At 36.6% G+C, this 19540-nt stretch overlaps 1 protein-coding gene across 3 annotated transcripts in view; it reads right to left on the bottom strand.

The window, feature by feature from the left end:
• LRRC69 (leucine rich repeat containing 69) overlaps positions 1-19540 on the bottom strand; it is a 116639-nt gene that overhangs the window by 38943 nt on the left and 58156 nt on the right. The window lies entirely within an intron of this gene.

The following is a 19540-nucleotide window of genomic DNA, read 5'->3' as shown; positions in this document are numbered from 1 at the left end:
CCATGTGAGTAAGCCATCTTGGAAGCAGATCCTCCAGCTCCAGTCAAGCCTTCAGATGACTGCAATTCCAGCTGACAACTTGATTACAACTCATGAGAGACCCTGAGCTAGAACCAACCAGTTCAGATACTCTCAGATTCCTAATCCTCAGAACCTGTGTGAAATAACAAATCTCTGATGCTTTAAGCAGCTAAATTTTGGGGTAATGTGTTATACAGCTACAAGTAACTAATATGTAATAGAGAGCTTCTATTTTACTAAAGCAAATCAATAAATATATGGATAAATCCCAACACCTACTAAGAACAGGACACTAGGCTAAAAATAATGAAAAGTTGAATGAAATAGAAGACTGGTTCCTGCTTTCAAAAGCTTAACATTCTGTTGGAAACAGAAAACCCTAGTTTCAAGCTGTAGACCTACACATACGACGTTTCATTGTAATATCCCAATTTACAATTCAATGTAACTTTTTACAAGACCATGTCACATTGTCTTTCAGTCCCTTCATAAGAACGATTTCTTATTCTTTGTATCTCCTGATCTAGCATACGTTTAATACATAAATGTGGTTCAATAAATATTTTTCAATAAATGCTTGATTATCCATACCAAAAAATAATATTTATCAATAAAAGGTAGTGAATGCCTAGGGTCAAAAGACCAATGCAGATAATAAAGGTATCTTTAGAAAGAATGTTTGCTATATAAATGGTAGACTAGGAAAAAATAAAGTGGGTAGTTGCTTAAAATATCTTGAGCATTATATTTTATATGTTATGAATCTGTGTCTCTGCCCCAATCTCATGTAGAATTGTAATCTCCAATGTTGGAGGTGGGACTTGGTGGGAGGTGACTGGATCATGGAGATGTTTCTCATGAACAGTTTAGCACCATCTCCCTTGGTGCTGTTCTCATGATGGTGAGTTCTCATGACACTGGTTCTTTAAAAGTATGTTGCACTTTCCCTCTTGCTCTCTCTCTCTTGCTTCTGCTCCTGCCATGTGAGACAACCCGCTCCCCCTTTGCTTTCCACCACAATTGAAAGCTTTCTGAGGCCTCTCCAGAAGCAGAAGCCACTATGCTTCCTGTACAACCTGCTGAACTGCAAGTCAATAAAACCGCTTTTCTTTATAAATTACCCAGGTTCAGGTATTTATTTATAGCAATGCAAGAATGGCCTAATACACTGTTTAAGTGCAATGACTTTGGAGTTAGCTAGACCTGGGTTCAATCCCATGTCTCATTTAATCCTCAGTGAAAAGGATATTATTAGCTTCTATTTACAGATGCAGAATATAAAACCTAGGTGAATTACAAGAACTCTGCCAAGTTTACATGGGGAAAATATTTCATCTGAACCTTAAAAGTCAAGGCGAAATCATACAGGAGAAGAAAAAGCATTCAGGGTAGTGAAAATTGTGTACACATAAACATCCAGGAATGAAACTGCCATGGCCCCCTGCCAATCTTGTCCCAGGGTCACCTCTCAGGTAGTCCTGCTTCCTAGGGACACCAGTTAAGGAAAGATTTGTTGCTAGAAGCCAGTTCCTAAGGTCCCTTCAAATAATGTGAAAGGACTGAGCTGCCAAACCTCTCATGTCTTGAATCACATACACCCTGAAATTTCTGAATGTTCCTTGAAATGTAAAGACTTACATCAGAGGATACCATTTTGCAAACATTTTTCAGGGACTTTCATCATCTTTACCAGGAGTCTGAAAACTTGTGAGCACCAGCCTAATGTTGTCTAGTACATGACAAAGGGAAACAGAAGATAAAAGCAAAAAGCTAACAAAATATTTGCCTCAATTTTACATAGTAATTGTACTGTCTGAAAATTTAGGAAAATTTTCCTTTTTATTGGATTGCCCCTGAAGCTCTTCCTTCTATTAGGAAGAAAGTCATCTAAGTTAATTACATAGAATAAAAGGTAACTCAGAACAAGTTATCAAAGCTGTTGTTTTAAGTGGCCCAGAAAGAGGAGGGGCCATATCAATTGTAGCACACAAGTTTTCAGCTGTTGCAAACAGAAATGAAATAGGCCTCTAGGCCTGGACTCTTTCCAACTACTACTCTGTCATCTATCATATATCATCATATTTTATCCATCGCAGAAATCCGATAAACATAAAGCACAAGAATTGGAGTTGAAAAGCAGAAAACAGGCCGGGCGCAGTGGCTCACGCCTGTAATCCCAGCACTTTGGGAGGCCAAGGCAGGCGGATCACAAGGTCAGGAGATCGAGACCATCCTGGCTAACACGGTGAAACCCCGTCTCTACTAAAAACACAAAAAATTAGCCGGGTGTGGTGGCGGGCCCCAGTAGTCCCAGCTACTAGGGAGGCTGAGGCAGGGGAATGGCATGAACCCGGGAGGCGGAGCGTACCGTGAGCCGAGATCATGCCACTGTACTCCAGCCTGGGCAACACAGCAAGACTCTGTCTCAAAAAAAAAAAAAAAAGAAAAGCAGAAAACATTTAGTATTAGAGAATAAAACCTAGGAGGTCTGGAAAGAGACTGAGATAAAAAGAGAAAGAAATACAGGTTTTTAACCCTACAATTCTACTGCTAGAACCTACAGACTTTTATTTCTCCAGAATAGCTGATACTATTCATTTCCATTTCCCCTTGTTCACTTTCTGCTTTTGAAAAGAAAATTTTCCACATTCCAAATAGATTTGTTATCATTTGTTGAGTACCATGTGCAGCAGTGTTTCAGAACAGTGTTCATTCATACCTATATAGGAGCCTAATACTATTGGCAGCAAGAGTCATTTTTGCTTATTATATTAAAGTGAATGTATATAATTATGTAGAACTATAATTCTTCTTAAACATATTTCAATATATATATAGTTGATGCTTATCATATTTGATACAAATAAAGTAAAATAGAATGAATAGTCTATTGAATATTTGCCTGAGATCATATCTAAGAATCAGATGAGATGAAAAAGTACAGTAATTGATTGTCAGATCTTTCCTAGAATATCTTCACAAATAAATTAATAGAGAATACCAAAATTTCTCTTAAAACTCTGATAACATTTACCCTTTTTAGAATTAATACTATTCCTGAATGACTTGATGTTCAAATACACATAAACATGTGCAGCATAATTTTGAGATGATCCATTTAAAATTGCCATCTATGGTTCTAAACTGTACATTCTTTATGTGCTAATCAATCAGTCCTTGATTAAAGGATATTGTAATTACAAATAAAGTAATTCAGATCTGATTCCTCCCCCCAAAAAAGACTATAATTACCTATTTTTAATAAAATGACCACACAGTTAACTAAACATTAGTAAATAAATTAAACAGAACATATAATAATATTTCAAATATATTTAAACTTATTTACTGTAATGATTAATTTTATGTGTCAACTTCACTGGGCCATGGCGTATCCAGATATTTGGCTTAACATTATTTCTTGGTGTGCCTTGAGGGTGTTTCTAGATGAAATTAAGCAATTGATGAACTGAATGAAGCAGATTGCCCTCCCCATTGTGACTGGGCATTATCCAATCTGTTGAGGGCATGACTAGAACAAAAAGGTGGAGGGAGGGAGAATTCACTCTGTCTGACTGAACTAGGACATCAGTTTTCTCCTGTACTGGGACTGAGGCTTATGCCATCAGCTCTCCTGCTTCTGAGGCCTTCATGATTGAACTGGAAGGATACCACTGGCTTTCCTGGGCCTTCAGCTTGTATACAGCAGTTAGTGAAGTGAGACTGCTCAAACCCATAATCATGTAAGCCAATTTATTATAATAAATATGTTGAGAAAGAGAGAGAGATATCCTGTTGGTTCTGTTTCTCTGGCAGACCCTAATACATCTATTTAAAATATATCCTAGAGGCCGGGCACAGTGGCTCATGCCTGTAATTCCAGCACTTTGGGAGGCCTAGGCAGGCAGATCACAAGGTCAGGAGATTGAGAACATCCTGGCCAACATGGTGAAACCCCATCTCTACTAAAATACAAAAAATAAAATAAAAAACTAAATGGGCATGGTGGCACATGCCTGTAGTCCCAGCTACTCAGGAGGCTGAGGCAGGGGAATCGCTTGAACCCAGGAGGCGGAGGTTGTAGTGAACTGAGATTGCACCACTGCACTCCAGCCTGGTGACAGAGTGAGACTGTCTCAAAAAAAAGAAAAAAAAAAAATATATATATATATATATATGAGGGATGGTGCCTGAAACCATAAGCCAAAGAAACTACTAAGGAAAGAGGCAATGGAAATGTGACAGCAATTGCAGCTGAAATAGAGGATGCCATGAAATAAATTCTGTAATAGAGATACCTACAAAATGTTAAGTAATCATACATGAAAGAAAAGAAAAGATTCAGTAAAAGAAATATTGTTACACTGGAGAAGAAGGAAATACGCCAAAATGTGAATAGTGATCATCTCCAGAGAGCATCTAAAGTAGTCCTTTAAAGCATGTCCAATTATATCACTCCCCTGCTCAAAAAAAAAAAACTCCGGTGGTGTCACGTCTTACTCAGAACTTAGTCCTTTTCAAGATAGTTAAAAATTAGTCAAGAATACCATTCAACATACAATAGGACCACCAAACGTTTCCTACTCTGTTGATGCCCCCCTTTCGAAGTGCAACCACCCACCCAGAGACCCTGTCATATGCAGATTTTACACCATATAATTCTACTGCTTGGGAACTGAACTAACTGAACAAGAGCTTGACTCTTGAGCCAAAGAAAGCCAATATAGCCTGGCCACAAACTCTGATTCAATCACCTAGCCGCAAAAGGGTTGGCCTAATCATACACTCTTCAGGAATTCAAACCAAGAAATATGGAAATAATTTGACATTTAGTTCTGGAAGCTGAAATAGAACAGGTATTATGTCAGGGACTGGAGAGTTTACAGTGGGCTATGTGCACGTTGAAGTTATAAAGGAGTAGAAAAAAGGTATAAGCAGAAGAAGCATTTGGAACATGGCTAAGATATGCTGCATTTAAGTGTAACAGGTATGATGACTTAAATGTTCATGCAGCTGAGGATTCCAGCTCCTCCTTGAACTGAGAATCACATGCTAACTCCAGTACCTCTGAGCTCTGCCCAGCCTTACCGTATCTCCTGTTTGAGTCCCCATGAGATTTTCCCTACTCCTCCCTGTGTAACTTTAATTAAACTCCATTTATGTTCCAACCAAAGAACCAAAAGAAAACATGCACAGCAATTTCAACATGTCATAGAATTCTCCTGCTCTACCTTTGGCAGATAGATAAGTCCCTCCAATATTTCTAAATTGCTCCAAATAACCTTCATGGGTATTTTTAGTGAATTATCCTTTGCAAAATGTCAAACTCTACTTCTCTCTTCTCTCAATCTAAGACTCCCAATCCTTAGTCATTTATTCCTTAAAAACAGTCTTTTCAGGTTTTAAAAGCCAGTTATACAGTTAGCACCTCTCCACTGGATAGGAGAGCCGTATACCTAGTGATGTTCTTTCAACCATACTTGTAAACCTTGCAGCACTAGTTACAAAGAAAAGCTGGAATGAGCAGTAACCAGACTCTACAAAAGGCACTTTCCTTAGGGAATACCACAGATGTGAAAGCTCCCAACTTCTGCCCTGGAATAGTCTACAATTTAAACTAAGGAATTCCATTTTAAAATGTATTCAGACCAAGCAACAACTCATAGCAGTGAACTAGACGAAATATATTCAAAGATTTCATGAAGGCTGTTTATAGTTTGAAACCTAATTGTGAGATCTTGTCTTCCATTTATCTTATCTGACAGGAAATTAAAACTTGAGTGGTCAGATTCATGATGGAGACTGCAGAAAGAATGTCAGTTGAAGCTTATGGCTTGGTTTCCATACAAGGCCCAGTGTGGTTTTAAATAAAGCCTCTCAAAGGCATAGCGCCTTTAATTTCACTTAGTATATTTTTGTTCTTCTGTATTAGACTATATGTTTTAAGGGGTTCTTGAATGCTTTTCTTCACCTTCCTTTAAGTCACTATTTTAACCAAAAGAATACTGTTTTTTAGCTTTTCATATAACTTTATCTGTACTTAATAGTAGACTAGACAAAGCACTGGACTTACAGGCTGGGGAAAGGATTTAATTCATTTCTTCCACACAGCCTCTATGAACATATTATTTAGAGTACCTCAGCCTGTTTCTCATCTTATAAATAGAAGTAATAATATCCATCTCATTGAATTGTGAAGATCAAATGAGGGATGTTTAAATAACTTCAAGGCATTGTAGAAAAATAAGGTACTACACTAACATGTAGTTCATTGTCTAAAGTAGGCAAGTCATGTTTCTTGCTCTCTTTCAATAAAAAGTCCTTGTTAGGATCAGCTTTTGTTTTTTCTTCTTTTTTTTTCATTATTGCTATGGTCTGAATGTTTGTGTCCCCCAAAAATTCGTTATGTTGAAACAATCCCCAGTATGATAGTATCGAGGTAGGGCCTTCGGGAGATCATTAGTTTGTGAGGGTTGAGCCCTTATAAAAGATTCCCAAGGAATCTTGTCTACCCTTCTACCACATAAGGACATAGCTAGAAGGTACTATCTTTGAAGCAGAGTGCAAGCCCCGAACAGACACCAAATCTGCTGGCATCTTGATCTTGAACATCCCAAATTTATAAACAATTCCTGTTGTTTATAAATTACTCAGTCTAAGGTATTTTGTTATAGCAGCCCAGATGGATTAAGACAATTACTTTGCTTCCATTAATCTCTACCTGACAATATACTGCAAGTGTATTAGTAAATTGATACAAGTACTTTCAGTTTTAAGACGGTAAAAATAGGCATACATAGTGTCCCTCCTTCCCATGCCAAAACTTAGAAATGATAAGAGGATAACTTTTAAAATAATACATAAATAGCCACTTAAATACAGGAAGATAAATTCTTACAGGAACAGAAACCACATGTAGATAGTATCAAATGAGGAAGGAAGCATTGACCCAGGATGAATATGGAAGCCCAAGGAAGAGCTTTTACCAAAAATAATTAAGGCAATTCAAAACACAGAGGTAGTAGAGTCCTTCAGAGAATAATGGGATCAGGGAACAATAGACAGAGGGATTACTATACTCTCTCAGGACCAAGCAGCTCTGTGGACTAGACTACCTACTCTACCCCATAGCCACACTATTCCTCCTATCCCTCACCCTCTTCCCCTACATCCTACGCAACTATAGCCTAGTTAGGAGATGTGCTTTGAACAGAGAGAAATAAAATGGAGCCGTGAGTAGCTGGCAACACCAGAGAAGAATCAGAATGCATTATACTTGCTTCCACACACTCACTGACCAAAGCAATCTCCTGTCAGACATTTTTCCTCTCTGTAAAGTGAACTGAAAAAACAGTCATAAGTCTTTCAGGGAATCTCCTGTGCCCAGAATTCAAAAATAAGCTGAAATTTAAAAAATTATTCAAGGAGCTGATAATCACTGAATGCCAACACCATTCAGGCTAATAGATGAAAGAGTTTATGGCCAGGAACAGTGGCTCATGCCTGTAATTCCAGCACTTTGGGAGGCTGAGGCGGGCTGATCACGAGGTCAGGAATTCGAGACCAGCCTGAGCAACATGGAGAAACGCTGTCTCTACTAAAAATACAAAATTAGCCGAGTGTGGTGGTGCATGACTGTAGTCCCAGCTACTCGGGAGGCTGAGGCAGGATAATTGCTTGAACCCAGGAGGTGGAGGTTGCGGTGAGCTGAGATCTTGCCATTGCACTCTAGCCTGGGCAACAAGAGTGAAACTCAGTCTCAAAAAATAAAAATAAATAAAGAGTTTATACCAGAGGAAATAGAGCTGATAAAACAGGACTATAAAATAATTAGTATAATTACTATCTTCAAAGAAATATGTAAAGAATTGCTTACATAAAGCAAGAAAAAGAAGTGATAATAACCAATTAGAAAACTTGGAAATGTTGACTCATAGAAGTTTCCTGAAGCATAATTTAACAATATTTATCAAATCAGTAGAAGTGTGCATAATTTTTGAGATAGCATTTACACTTCTAGATATATTTCCTAAGGGAATAACTAATGGTATGTACAAAGAGTAGCCACACTGAACTTTATAGAAGCATTTTTATTGTGGTAAGAAGTGTGAAGAATCCTACCTGTCAAAAAATAGGGGACTGTTTAATTATATACATATATCAAGGCTAAATAGCCAGTAGAAATAGTGATGTAGGAAAATACTCTAAACCATGGGGAAATGTTTACAATAAAATGTAAAAGATACATTACAAAGCATGTATGAATAATACATTAATATGTATGATAATACTAATAATACAAACACATTAACATGTCTGAATATTCCATTTTTTAAAAAAAAAACCTCCATGTGCATGTGGATACATGCCCTCACACTCACATACACATTTTTAAAATGGAAAAATAGTAAAGAAATAAGCCAATATGTTGTTCACACCTCCTTGGTCAGACCATGGGTAATTTGGCTTTTATTGTTTGCTTATCTATATTTTCCAAATAATCTACAGTGAAAAGACATTTTTAAAAGTTTTTCCAGGAATCATTAAATTTACATCACTCTGATTCTGATTACCAATGTGTAAATTTTCCAAAGACACATTTGGGAATGAGAATACTAGGAGATAGATTCCTCCTATACTTGCTCAAAAGACTGAAAACACAGCTTCCCAACGTGGATATGATCTTCCCAGGGCTAAAAATATTTCAAGACTTTCAAGAAAGCTGTATCAACATCTGTGCTGATTCTAAGATTTTCTCAGAAGTTTGAAAACTCTCCCACATATCTGGCCCATGAGGTAAAAAAGTAAGAAATATTTTTTCAAGTTCAGTGCTGGTTCAGCTTACGCATTTTAATCAGGGAGCAGGAGGGGGTGATATCATCCCCAAGGACGTAAAAATCGGTTTATGGGGGAGGTGAAAAAATCTTAGATATTATAATTGTTTATGATCCTCCGAAGCTCAACTCTGACAATATAAATGTATACATGGAATAACTAATACTAAAATTTCATGGGGGGTAAGAGGAGGTTATTAGAGGAATAAAGTCAAACAATTGTCCTGGGTGAAGGGAAACAATAATGTAAAAATGGTTGAGAAACACGATTCAGCCTTAGGAACATAAAACCCAAATTCTTTTTTTCATACATTCTGTTTTTGTTACATTCCTTAGAGCCTCAGAATTGACTATTTTAAAAAAATTATATACACCCACTTTTTGATGGGGTTGTTTGTTTTTTTCTTGTAAATTTGTTTGAGTTCATTGTAGATTCTGGATATTAGCCCTTTGTCAGATGAGTAGGTTGCGAAAATTTTCTCCCATTTTGTAGGTTGCCTGTTCACTCTGATGGTAGTTTCTTTTGCTGTGCAGAAGCTCTTTAGTTTAATTAGATCCCATTTGTCAATTTTGGCTTTTGTTGCCATTGCTTTTGGTGTTTTAGACATGAAGTCCTTGCCCACGCCTATGTCCTGAATGGTAATGCCTAGGTTTTCTTCTAGGGTTTTTATGGTTTTAGGTCTAACGTTTAAGTCTTTAATCCATCTTGAATTGATTTTTGTATAAGGTGTAAGGAAGGGATCCAGTTTCAGCTTTCTACATATGGCTAGCCAGTTTTCCCAGCACCATTTATTAAATAGGGAATCCTTTCCCCATTGCTTGTTTTTCTCAGGTTTGTCAAAGATCAGATAGTTGTAGATACGCGGCGTTATTTCTGAGGGCTCTGTTCTGTTCCATTGACTATATCTCTGTTTTGGTACCAGTACCATGCTGTTTGGTTACTGTAGCCTTGTAGTATAGTTTGAAGTCAGGTAGTGTGATGCCTCCAGCTTTGTTCTTTTGGCTTAGGATTGGCTTGGCGATGTGGGCTCTTTTTTGGTTCCATATGAACTTTAAAGTAGTTTTTTCCAATTCTGTGAAGAAAGGCATTGGTAGCTTGATGGGGATGGCATTGAATCTGTAAATTACCTTGGGCAGTATGGCCATTTATGCAGCAAAAAACACATGAAAAAATGCTCATCATCACTGGCCATCAGAGAAATGCAAATCAAAACCACAATGAGATACCATCTCACACCAGTTAGAATGGCGATCATTAAAAAGTCAGGAAACAACAGGTGCTGGAGAGGATGTGGAGAAATAGGAACACTTTTACACTGTTGGTGGGACTGTAAACTAGTTCAACCATTGTGGAAGTCAGTGTGGCGATTCCTCAGGGATCTAGAACTGGAAATACCATTTGACCCAGCCATCCCATTACTGGGTATATACCCAAAGGACTATAAATCATGCTGCTGTAAAGACACATGCACACGTATGTTTATTGTGGCATTATTCACAATAGCAAAGACTTGGAACCAACCCAAATGTCCAACAATGATAGACTGGATTAAGAAAATGTGGCACATATACACCATGGAATACTATGCAGCCATAAAAAAGGATGAGTTCATGTCCTTTGTAGGGACATGGATGAAATTGGAAATCATCATTTTCAGTAAACTATCGCAAGAACAAAAAACCAAACACTGCATGTTCTCACTCATAGGTGGGAATTGAACAATGAGATCACATGGACACAGGAAGGGGAATATCACACTCTGGGGACTGTTGTGGGGTGGGGGTAGGGGGGGAGGGGATAGCATTGGGAGATATACCTAATGCTAGATGATGAGTTAGTGGGTGCAGCGCACCAGCATGGCACATGTATACATATGTAACTAAGCTGCACAATGTGCACATGTACCCTAAAACTTAAGGTATAATAAAAAAAAAATTATATACACACATATGTACATGTACTCATGCTCCTTTGTGTCAGGAAACTCTTCAGTAATTTGCTTCTATATTGAAATTTCTATACCAAAAAGATAATATTTTCTAAATTTAACTTTTATTTTAGGTTCAAGGGTACATGTGCAGGTTTGTTATATAGGTAAATTGTATTTCATGGAGGTTGGTATACAGATTATTTCATCACCCAGGTAATAATCATAGTACTTGATAGAGAGTTTTTTAATCCTCTCCCTCCTCCCACTTTCTACCCTCAAATAGGCCGCTGTGTCTGTTGTTCCCTATTTTGGTCCATGTGTATTCAGTGTTTAGCTCCTACTTATAAGTAAGAACATGCAGTATTTAGTTTTCTGTTCCTGGGTTAGTTTGCTTAGGATTATGGCCTCCAGCTCTAAAAAGGACAATATTTTATAAAGTCCTGGATCTTTTTCCAAGCATTTTGTTGCTTCCTGTTTTGAAATATAAGTGTCTGAATTGTTGATGAAGTGTCAACTGACAGCTATTAACGTTAGTCCCAAGATTTTAAATTCAGTTTGTTTTTTGTATTTGACTCTGGAATCACTCACATTATTATGATTCCTATTATAAAGCACAGAATAAGGGCTCAAAAGTATGTAATGATTCTTTATTACTTGAGTCATTATGATATTAAGAGCAACATTTTTTGAGCAATGTTTCTTAAATTCTACTGTTTTATATGACTTATTTAGTATTCATTATTCTTTCTATATTTTTATGGCCTGGCTTGCTATATTAATTGCAAAAAAAAACACAAAACACAAAAAAACAGACAACACATAGAGTGTCATTTATCTCATGTAACAAGTGTCACAAGTTGAGCAGGCCAGGAGTAGTAAGGCTGTGCAATGCTGCTGCCAGAGGTCCATCCTGCTTAGCAGGTAGGTTGTTGTCTTCGTGCTTGCACTTTACAGTCCCAAATGGCTGCTAATTCTCAATCAAATTCAGGCAACACAAACAAGAAAAGACCAAGGGGCAAGAGATAAAGTCTGTCCAATTTATAGGAAAAACAAAAGCTTTCCTGGAAATCCCACCCAAAAGATTTCCATTTATTTTTCCCTAGCCAGAACTGTGACACATGACCACTCCCACTGGAAGTAGTTCAGGAGAGGAGGGCTGGAGATGGGGGTGTCAGCAGCTACCCAACAGCACCTGCCACATTTGTTCTTGTATATCAATCACATATTTCTGGTCATCTTTCGGCCCCTCAGTCTTTTCCAAAAGCCCTAATTAGAGTACCAGAGCCTTCATTTATACTCTGAATCATTCTTACAATGTCGTAAGCACTGAGGACACAGCAGTGCCCAAAACAGACAAAATTTCCCCTCCTGGGCTTACAATGCCCTAAGCGTTTTCTTCATGACACTACCTTAAATTTGTTTACCTGTGTATTATCAGTCTTCCCTACTAGATTATAAGCTCCAAGAGGGCAGGGAATTTGTATTATTCACCTCTGTATCCAGATGTCTACAAAAGTTCCTGGCATACAAAAGACACTCAGAAAATGTATATCGAATACATATATTAATAAATAAGGAAATTGAGACTTGGGGAATTTAAGGATCTCTACAGAAAGTCATACAGTTAATAAAGCAGTAAAGCTAATATTTTAAGAATTTCTATCACCAAAAAGGGAACATCGTCTCTTAAAATTCTCTACCATATCCTCCCTGTCTCAGTCAGTGGTGCTAAGGCTACTATCACTGGTGTGCTGACTGGCACCAACACAGAAGAGCCAGTTCTGAGCATCAATGTCCAACATGGCTTTTAGTGACATTATATTGGTAGCTTGAAACAGGCCATGGTGGGAGTATTTACATTATGGGAATTAGCAGATGCTACAAACGAGGGTTCCGCTCTGGCGCCCCAGGGAGCTGATTGTGTTAAACATTTACTAGCAAAACACTGGATGTTTCACATCTCACTTCCTTGTATATATTAGTGCTGAAAGCATTCCGTTGAGCTTTCCAGTTTCTCCCCTTGATATGGTTTGGCTGTGTCTCCATACAAATCCAATCTTGAATTGTAGCTCCCACAATTTCCATGTGTTGTCGGAGGGAGCCAGTGGAAGGATATTGAATCATAGGGGCGGGTCTTTCCCGGGCTGTTCTCGTGATAGTGAATAAGTCTCACTAGATCTGATGGTTTTATAAAAAGGAGTACCCCTGCACAAGTTCTCCCTTCCCTGCAGCCATATAAAATATGACTTGTTCCTACTTCCTTCCGCCATGATTGTGAGGCCTCCCCAACCATATGGAACTGTGAAGCAATTAAACTTCTTTCCTTTATAATTACCCAGTCTCGGGTATGTCTTTATTAACAGCATAACAACAGACTACTACAGCCTTCCCTAGAAGCAGTCCTTATTTTGCTGCTCCTGTAGTACTCACTGAGTTTTCAGCATGGTGCCCTCCTCTTGCTTTCTTTACCCTCCAAATCTCTGAATCTTTGAAGAAGTATCACAGCCCAACAGGGAGTGGGGCAAAAACTGTAACTAAAAACTGTGACTATCCAGCAAAGTGGGCAAAGGCACCGGAGTGTAGGTGGGGAAAAGAACAACAGAATCTATAACCAGCTCTGTGTCTGAAAACGACCAGGGGCAGAACCTTTGTTAAATAACAGCGTTTGGTTGGCAGTCTTGAGCTTCCTCTGTGGAGGCATAAATCTTGTTCTTTTTATATGAGGACGGGTAGTACTGGACTGACTCTACTTGCCATTCCCCAGGGCACTTTCAGTGGAACTTGCACTCTAAAATAGTGAATAATTGAGTAACAATTGTATATGTATCCCATAAAACAATTTCGTAAAGTGCCCTTTTCCACGCTAATATTTAACACAAGCTATATGTTTGATTTTGTTTTCTTCTTGCTTTACAGAGCATATCTTTGATCAAGGAATATAAATTATAATTCCTCTTCCTGCCATAAAGTTTTTCAAAATTGCTAATATTAGGATTTTCAGGTATTCATAGGTTTTTTTTTTTTTTTTTTTTTTTTCAGTTTATTTTACAACCCCCTCTTCCCATCTGTTCTCTCATTGTCCAGGTTAGATTGCCCCAGAGGACTCCCATATATGTAGGGTAGCCTAAGGAAAAATGAGTGGCAAGAAAGCAATAATACCACCTTCTAGCACAATTTGTCTAAGGTTCTGACATTATGGTGGCAGTCCTACACTACTGTAATAGTGTGTATGAGGTGGAGGAACATGCTGGAGCTTTGATGGTGACAAGGGAAGACAGGAATTAGAACTAATGTAATATTCAAAGTACTTGCTATGTTCCTGGTGATTTATATTTGTTAGCTCAGTCAATCCTCATGGTAGACAGTATCATTTGTATTATTATCCCATTTTTTAGATAAAGGAATTAAAGTTCAAGTTCAATTAAAATTTTCCCGAAGTCACACAGTTAGAAAGTTGCAAAACTGGAATTCATATGCAGTGCATGAAAGTTCATGTGTTTTCTACTACACAATGCTGCCCCAACCAAGTCAGCACTCTGGCTGCCCTTCACTCTATTATGACCTAAAAAAGAGGTTACTACCAAAATCTTGCTCACTAGATTTCCCTGGGAAAGCTAATTTGTAAAGAAATATACCAAGAAAAACCTGCATTCTTCTACAGCCAACTCAGGGATCTCTTGCAATAGCTGTTATCTGCAGGAATCATAAAACGTCAACCATAAGTATTGTCAGAATTAAAACCCAAGTTTGTCTGATTCCAGACTCTGTCTGATGTTTTCACCCATCATACTTCTTCCATTAATGAAAAAAATTAAAATATATCTACTACACAAAAACAGAAAACCCATTAACTGCATGTCTTTATTAGAGTTGTACATGTGACTTGAATCAGCTATAATTCTCATGACAGAGATGCACATAGAAAAAAATCTGAGGTCCAAATACGCACCAAACCACCTGAGAAATCTTGCCACCAGATTATTTTAATATATTAGCACTAACTCCCTTCTTACAAGTATAAGAAAGAGAAAGGAAGCAAAACTTTTGCATTCTGAAACAAGCAACTACAGTAACAAAAACCTCATGGTCTCCCCACAGTGACACGATCAGCTTTTCTGAGGGTCACCTAGTGTGTCACCCTTTGTGATTCAGTTGCATGGCATCCCCTGCACAGCTAAGTTGCCTAAGTCTTTTACTAACCCAGTGCCTTCTGTTTGGAATTATTTCCTTGACTTTCAGCTCTGCTTTTTCTTTAATGTACCCTCCTATAAAACCGCACCTGAAATTTCTTTGACATTCCCATTTTATCCTGGACTACAGGAATGCCAGCAAAGACTCTAAGATATGGTGCCAGAGAATATCCTTTCTTCCTCTCAAAAATTAGGCAAAATTTTCCTTTTGTGGGGGAACTACAGATGTTGCCAATTGTTCCTCCTAATTACCAGGCACAAAATGTCTATTCACCAACCTTCCCATCTCAAATGAACCTTCGTAGGAGTCTTGACTTCTATTTTCTAAAGTGAGCCTATAGGAGTTAGGGAGGTATGTAGCAGCAAGGAAGGAATTCACAGATCAGTCCCTTCTCTGGCTAGTTCAACTCAGTCAAGTCTTCCTCAACAATTAAAAGAACATGCAATATTAACGAACAGTCAAGAACAATACATGATAATCAGGCATAATATGTTTATATAAATCACTACTAGTAATTAAGAGTATTTTTGGTTTTGAAGCAACCTAGGTTTGAGTTTCAGCTCTGAAATTGAGAAAAGTACCTTAATCTTTTCTGAAAGCCTCAGTTTTATCATCTGTAAAATGGAAATGGTAATAGTTCCTAGCTCATGAAACTATAATGAAAATTAAATAAAAGGATACTATTTAAAGTGTTTAGCACAAAACCAGCATAGTTTTCAAAAAATATTATTAACCATTGTTTGTTTTTATATAGCAACTTTACATATCCTTTCTTGGCATATTACTGTTTCCAGAAAGCATCTGTGACCTAGATAGATGAAACCATAGCTAACCATTCTGAGTATACCCCAGACTGAAGAGTAGCCTTCTACGATGGACTTTGGCCATCTTTGAAGGTTCTGACCTTAATCTTCAGACTTCTAGGCCATGGAATTTCCTTGCCAGCTTTTCCTAAAGGAAAGCAGTCCTGGCTCTAACAAAAGAATGAGCTATTTTCTGAGCCTAGTTTCCTGACACCTTTGGGTAGTTGTCTTCTTGACAGAGAAGTTAGTTTTTAACCCTCATTATATTCTAGAACCTTCCATATTTACTGCCTCTAATCACTATACCTATCTCACAATACCTTCTCCACAATCCCAATTTACAATGTGATTTTCTGTATATGGGCACTTGGAGAAAAAACAAGAGAAAGCTAACATTTATAAAGTTGTAGGAACTTTTCTATAAATTTATTTGATCCCACTTCATAAAAATCTTAAGAATAATGAAAAAATTGATTGCCTTGCCTCATACTCTCACTCCTGACAACAAATAAAATATTCTGAAATTCCCTGAAATTTTATATAGGGAGCTTTGGAAGTCTCTTGAGATACCTTCTCAGTCAAGAGCTGAATTTTTATTTTTGATTTGGCTTGTATTTTAATATATATTCCATTATCCTCTAAGAACTTTGTAATTTATAATAGAAGATATGAAAAGTGTGGCCAATAAAATTAGAGCTCAAAATATAGAAAAAAATATTGATTTTAAAACTATAATCTTTTAATTTTTTTCTAAACTTGGCAGCCATAGCAGTAAGAATTTTTAGGGGTTTATATAATTTTAACTACCTGATAAAATTTAAAAGGAAATATAACTATAATAGAAATGTAATGCAGCTATTAAAGAGATTTACCTTAAAGTGGTCTTAGAAGAAAGAACACAAAGTCTTCTGAAAAATAAGTGGAACAGGAAAGCAATATAAAAGCAAGCAAATAAAGTGGAAGTTGAGAGAAGTAGGATCAAGATGGAGACAAGTTCTGACATCAAGGTCAGAGAAGATTTTTGAGACCCTCCCAAAGTTTGTGACTTGTGAACATTAGATGAAGTGTAGGGAAATCAGACAAAGGCTATGATAAAGCTATTCAGTCATTCATTCATTCAACAATGTGTATTGTTGCTTATTATGTATGCTTATTATTTGCCAAGGACTGCTCTTGGCAATAAAATACAGCAATGAATAAACAGGCAAAGATGCTGTTTTCATGGAAATTTGCATTCTATGGAGGCTAAAAAAATGGAGGGTGGGTACATAAAAACAATAAGCAAGTAAACAAATCTAAACATGTATTTATTACAGTGGTAAGTGCCATAAAGAAAAATTTAAAATTTGATGTCATAGAGTAGAGGCTACTTTGACTGAGTTGTGAGGAAAAGCTCTCCTGAGGAGTTGATATCTGAGCTGAGATCTATATAATACAAAAAAGACAACCATGGGAATATAAGATAGAAATAACTACACTTAACATGATCTGGAAAATAAAAGCCAAGTTTAAGATTTTCAGGAGATAAATGAAAAGTGTAAAAAGTAACATAGTAGATTTGAAAAAGAACCAACAAGAAATTGTAACAATAAATAAAACTGAAATACATAATCTAATGGGTAGGTTTGACAACATGTAGACAAAGCTGAAAAAAAAAGTATTAATTTGTAAAATATATCAGGAGAACATATCTAGAACTAAACACAGGGAGACAAAAGAATGGAAAGCAGAGGTGGAGGGAGGCAAAAAGATAAGTAAGTACTCACCATCAATAACAATATTGAATATAAACAGTTTAAATTTTCCCAACTATAAGATTTAAACAGGCTGAATGGATAAAAACATAAGACCCAACTATATTCTGCCTACAAAAAACTCACTTACCTGCAACAACACACATAGACTGAAAGTTAAGGGATGGGAAAAGATGTTCCATACAAATGGAAAACAAAAGTGAGCAGGAGTAACTATACTTACATTAGATGAAACAGACTTCAAGTCAAAAAATATAAAAAGGAACAAAGAAGGTCATTATATAATGATAAAGGGATTAATTCAGTAAGAGGATATAACATATGTAAATGTATATGCACCCAACACTGGAACAGCCAGATATATAAAGCAAGTATCAGTAGAACTAAAGGGAGAGATAGACCCTAGTACAATAATAGTTGGGGACTCAACGCTCCACTCTCAGCACTGGACAGAGTATCCAGACAGAAAATCAATGAAGAAACATCAGACTTAAACTGCACTACAAAATCAAATGGACCTAACAGACATTTATAAAACATGTCATCCAACAGCTGCAGAATACACATTCTTCTTTCCAGCACATGGAACATTCTCCAGGATAAACCATATGTTAGGACATAAAACAAGTCTCAACAAATTTTTAAAAATCAAAATCATAAGTATCTTTCAGATCACAATGGAATAAAACTATGAATCAATAACAAGAGGAACTGTGGAAACTGTACAAACACATAAAAGTGTAACAATGTGCTCCTGAGTCACCAAAGGTGAATAAAGAAATTAAGAAGAAAACTTTTAAGTTTCTTGAAACAAATGAAAACAGAAACACTGCATACCAAAACCTATTAAATATAGTAAAAGCATTACTAAGAGGGAAGTTTATAGCAATGAACACCTACAACAAAAATTAGAAAGATTTTAAATAAACAATCTGACAATGCACCTCAAGGATCTAGAAAAGCAAGAACAAATTAAACCCAAAATTAGTAGAAAGAAAGAAAGAAAATTAGCGCAGAAATAAACAAAATAGAGAATAAAAAGCAAATTTAAAAAGTTGTTTGAAAAGATAAACAAAATCAACATGGCATTAGACTAAAAAGAGACAGAAGATTCCAATACATAAAATTAGAAATGAAAAAGGAGACACATTAATATCACAGAACGCAAAGGATCATTAGAGATTATTATGAACAACTATATGCCAAAAAATTGGAAAACCTAGAGAAAACAGATAAATTTCTGCACACATATAATTTAACAAGGTTGAACCAGGAAGAAATAGAAAACCTAAACAGATCAGTAATGAGTAATGAGATTGAAACAGTAATAAGTCTCCCAAAATAAACAAACAAAAAAGCCCAGGACTGCATAACTTCACTGCTAAATTCTATCAAACTTTTAAGAAACTAACATCCACTTTTCTCAAACCATTCCGAAAAGAAAGAAGGAAATTCTTCCTAACTCATTCTTCAAGGCCAGCATTTCCCTTATACCAAAACCACAAAAGGACACAACAACAACAAGAAAAACTACAAATGAATAACCTTGATGAACACAGATGCAAAAACCTTAAAAAAATAGTAGCAAATGGAATCCAACAGTATATCAAAATGATTACACACCATGATCAAGTGGATTTAGGCCATGGATTCAAGGATGGTTCAATATATGCTAATAAGTAAATATATAATACATCATATCAACAGAATGAAGGGTAGAAATCATATGATCATCCCAATAGAGGCAGAAAACGGATTTGATAAAATTCTACACCTTGTCATGATAAAAACTCTCAACAAATTAGGTATTAAAGGAATATGACTAAACAAAGTAAAGGCCGTATGTGATAAACCCACAGTAAAATCATAGTGAGTATGGAAAAGCTTTCAGCAGGGAAAAGAAAAATGCTTTTCCTCTGAAATCTGGAGCAAGACAAGGATGCCTATTTTTTACCACTCTTATTCAACATAGTATAATACTTGTATTACTCCATTCTCACACTGCT

This window comes from Homo sapiens, chromosome 8 (genome assembly GCF_000001405.40).
Source record: "Homo sapiens chromosome 8, GRCh38.p14 Primary Assembly".
NCBI lineage: Eukaryota > Metazoa > Chordata > Mammalia > Primates > Hominidae > Homo > Homo sapiens.
The sequence above is the reverse complement of the archived record's forward strand: the minus strand, read 5'-3'. Positions and strand labels throughout refer to the sequence as shown.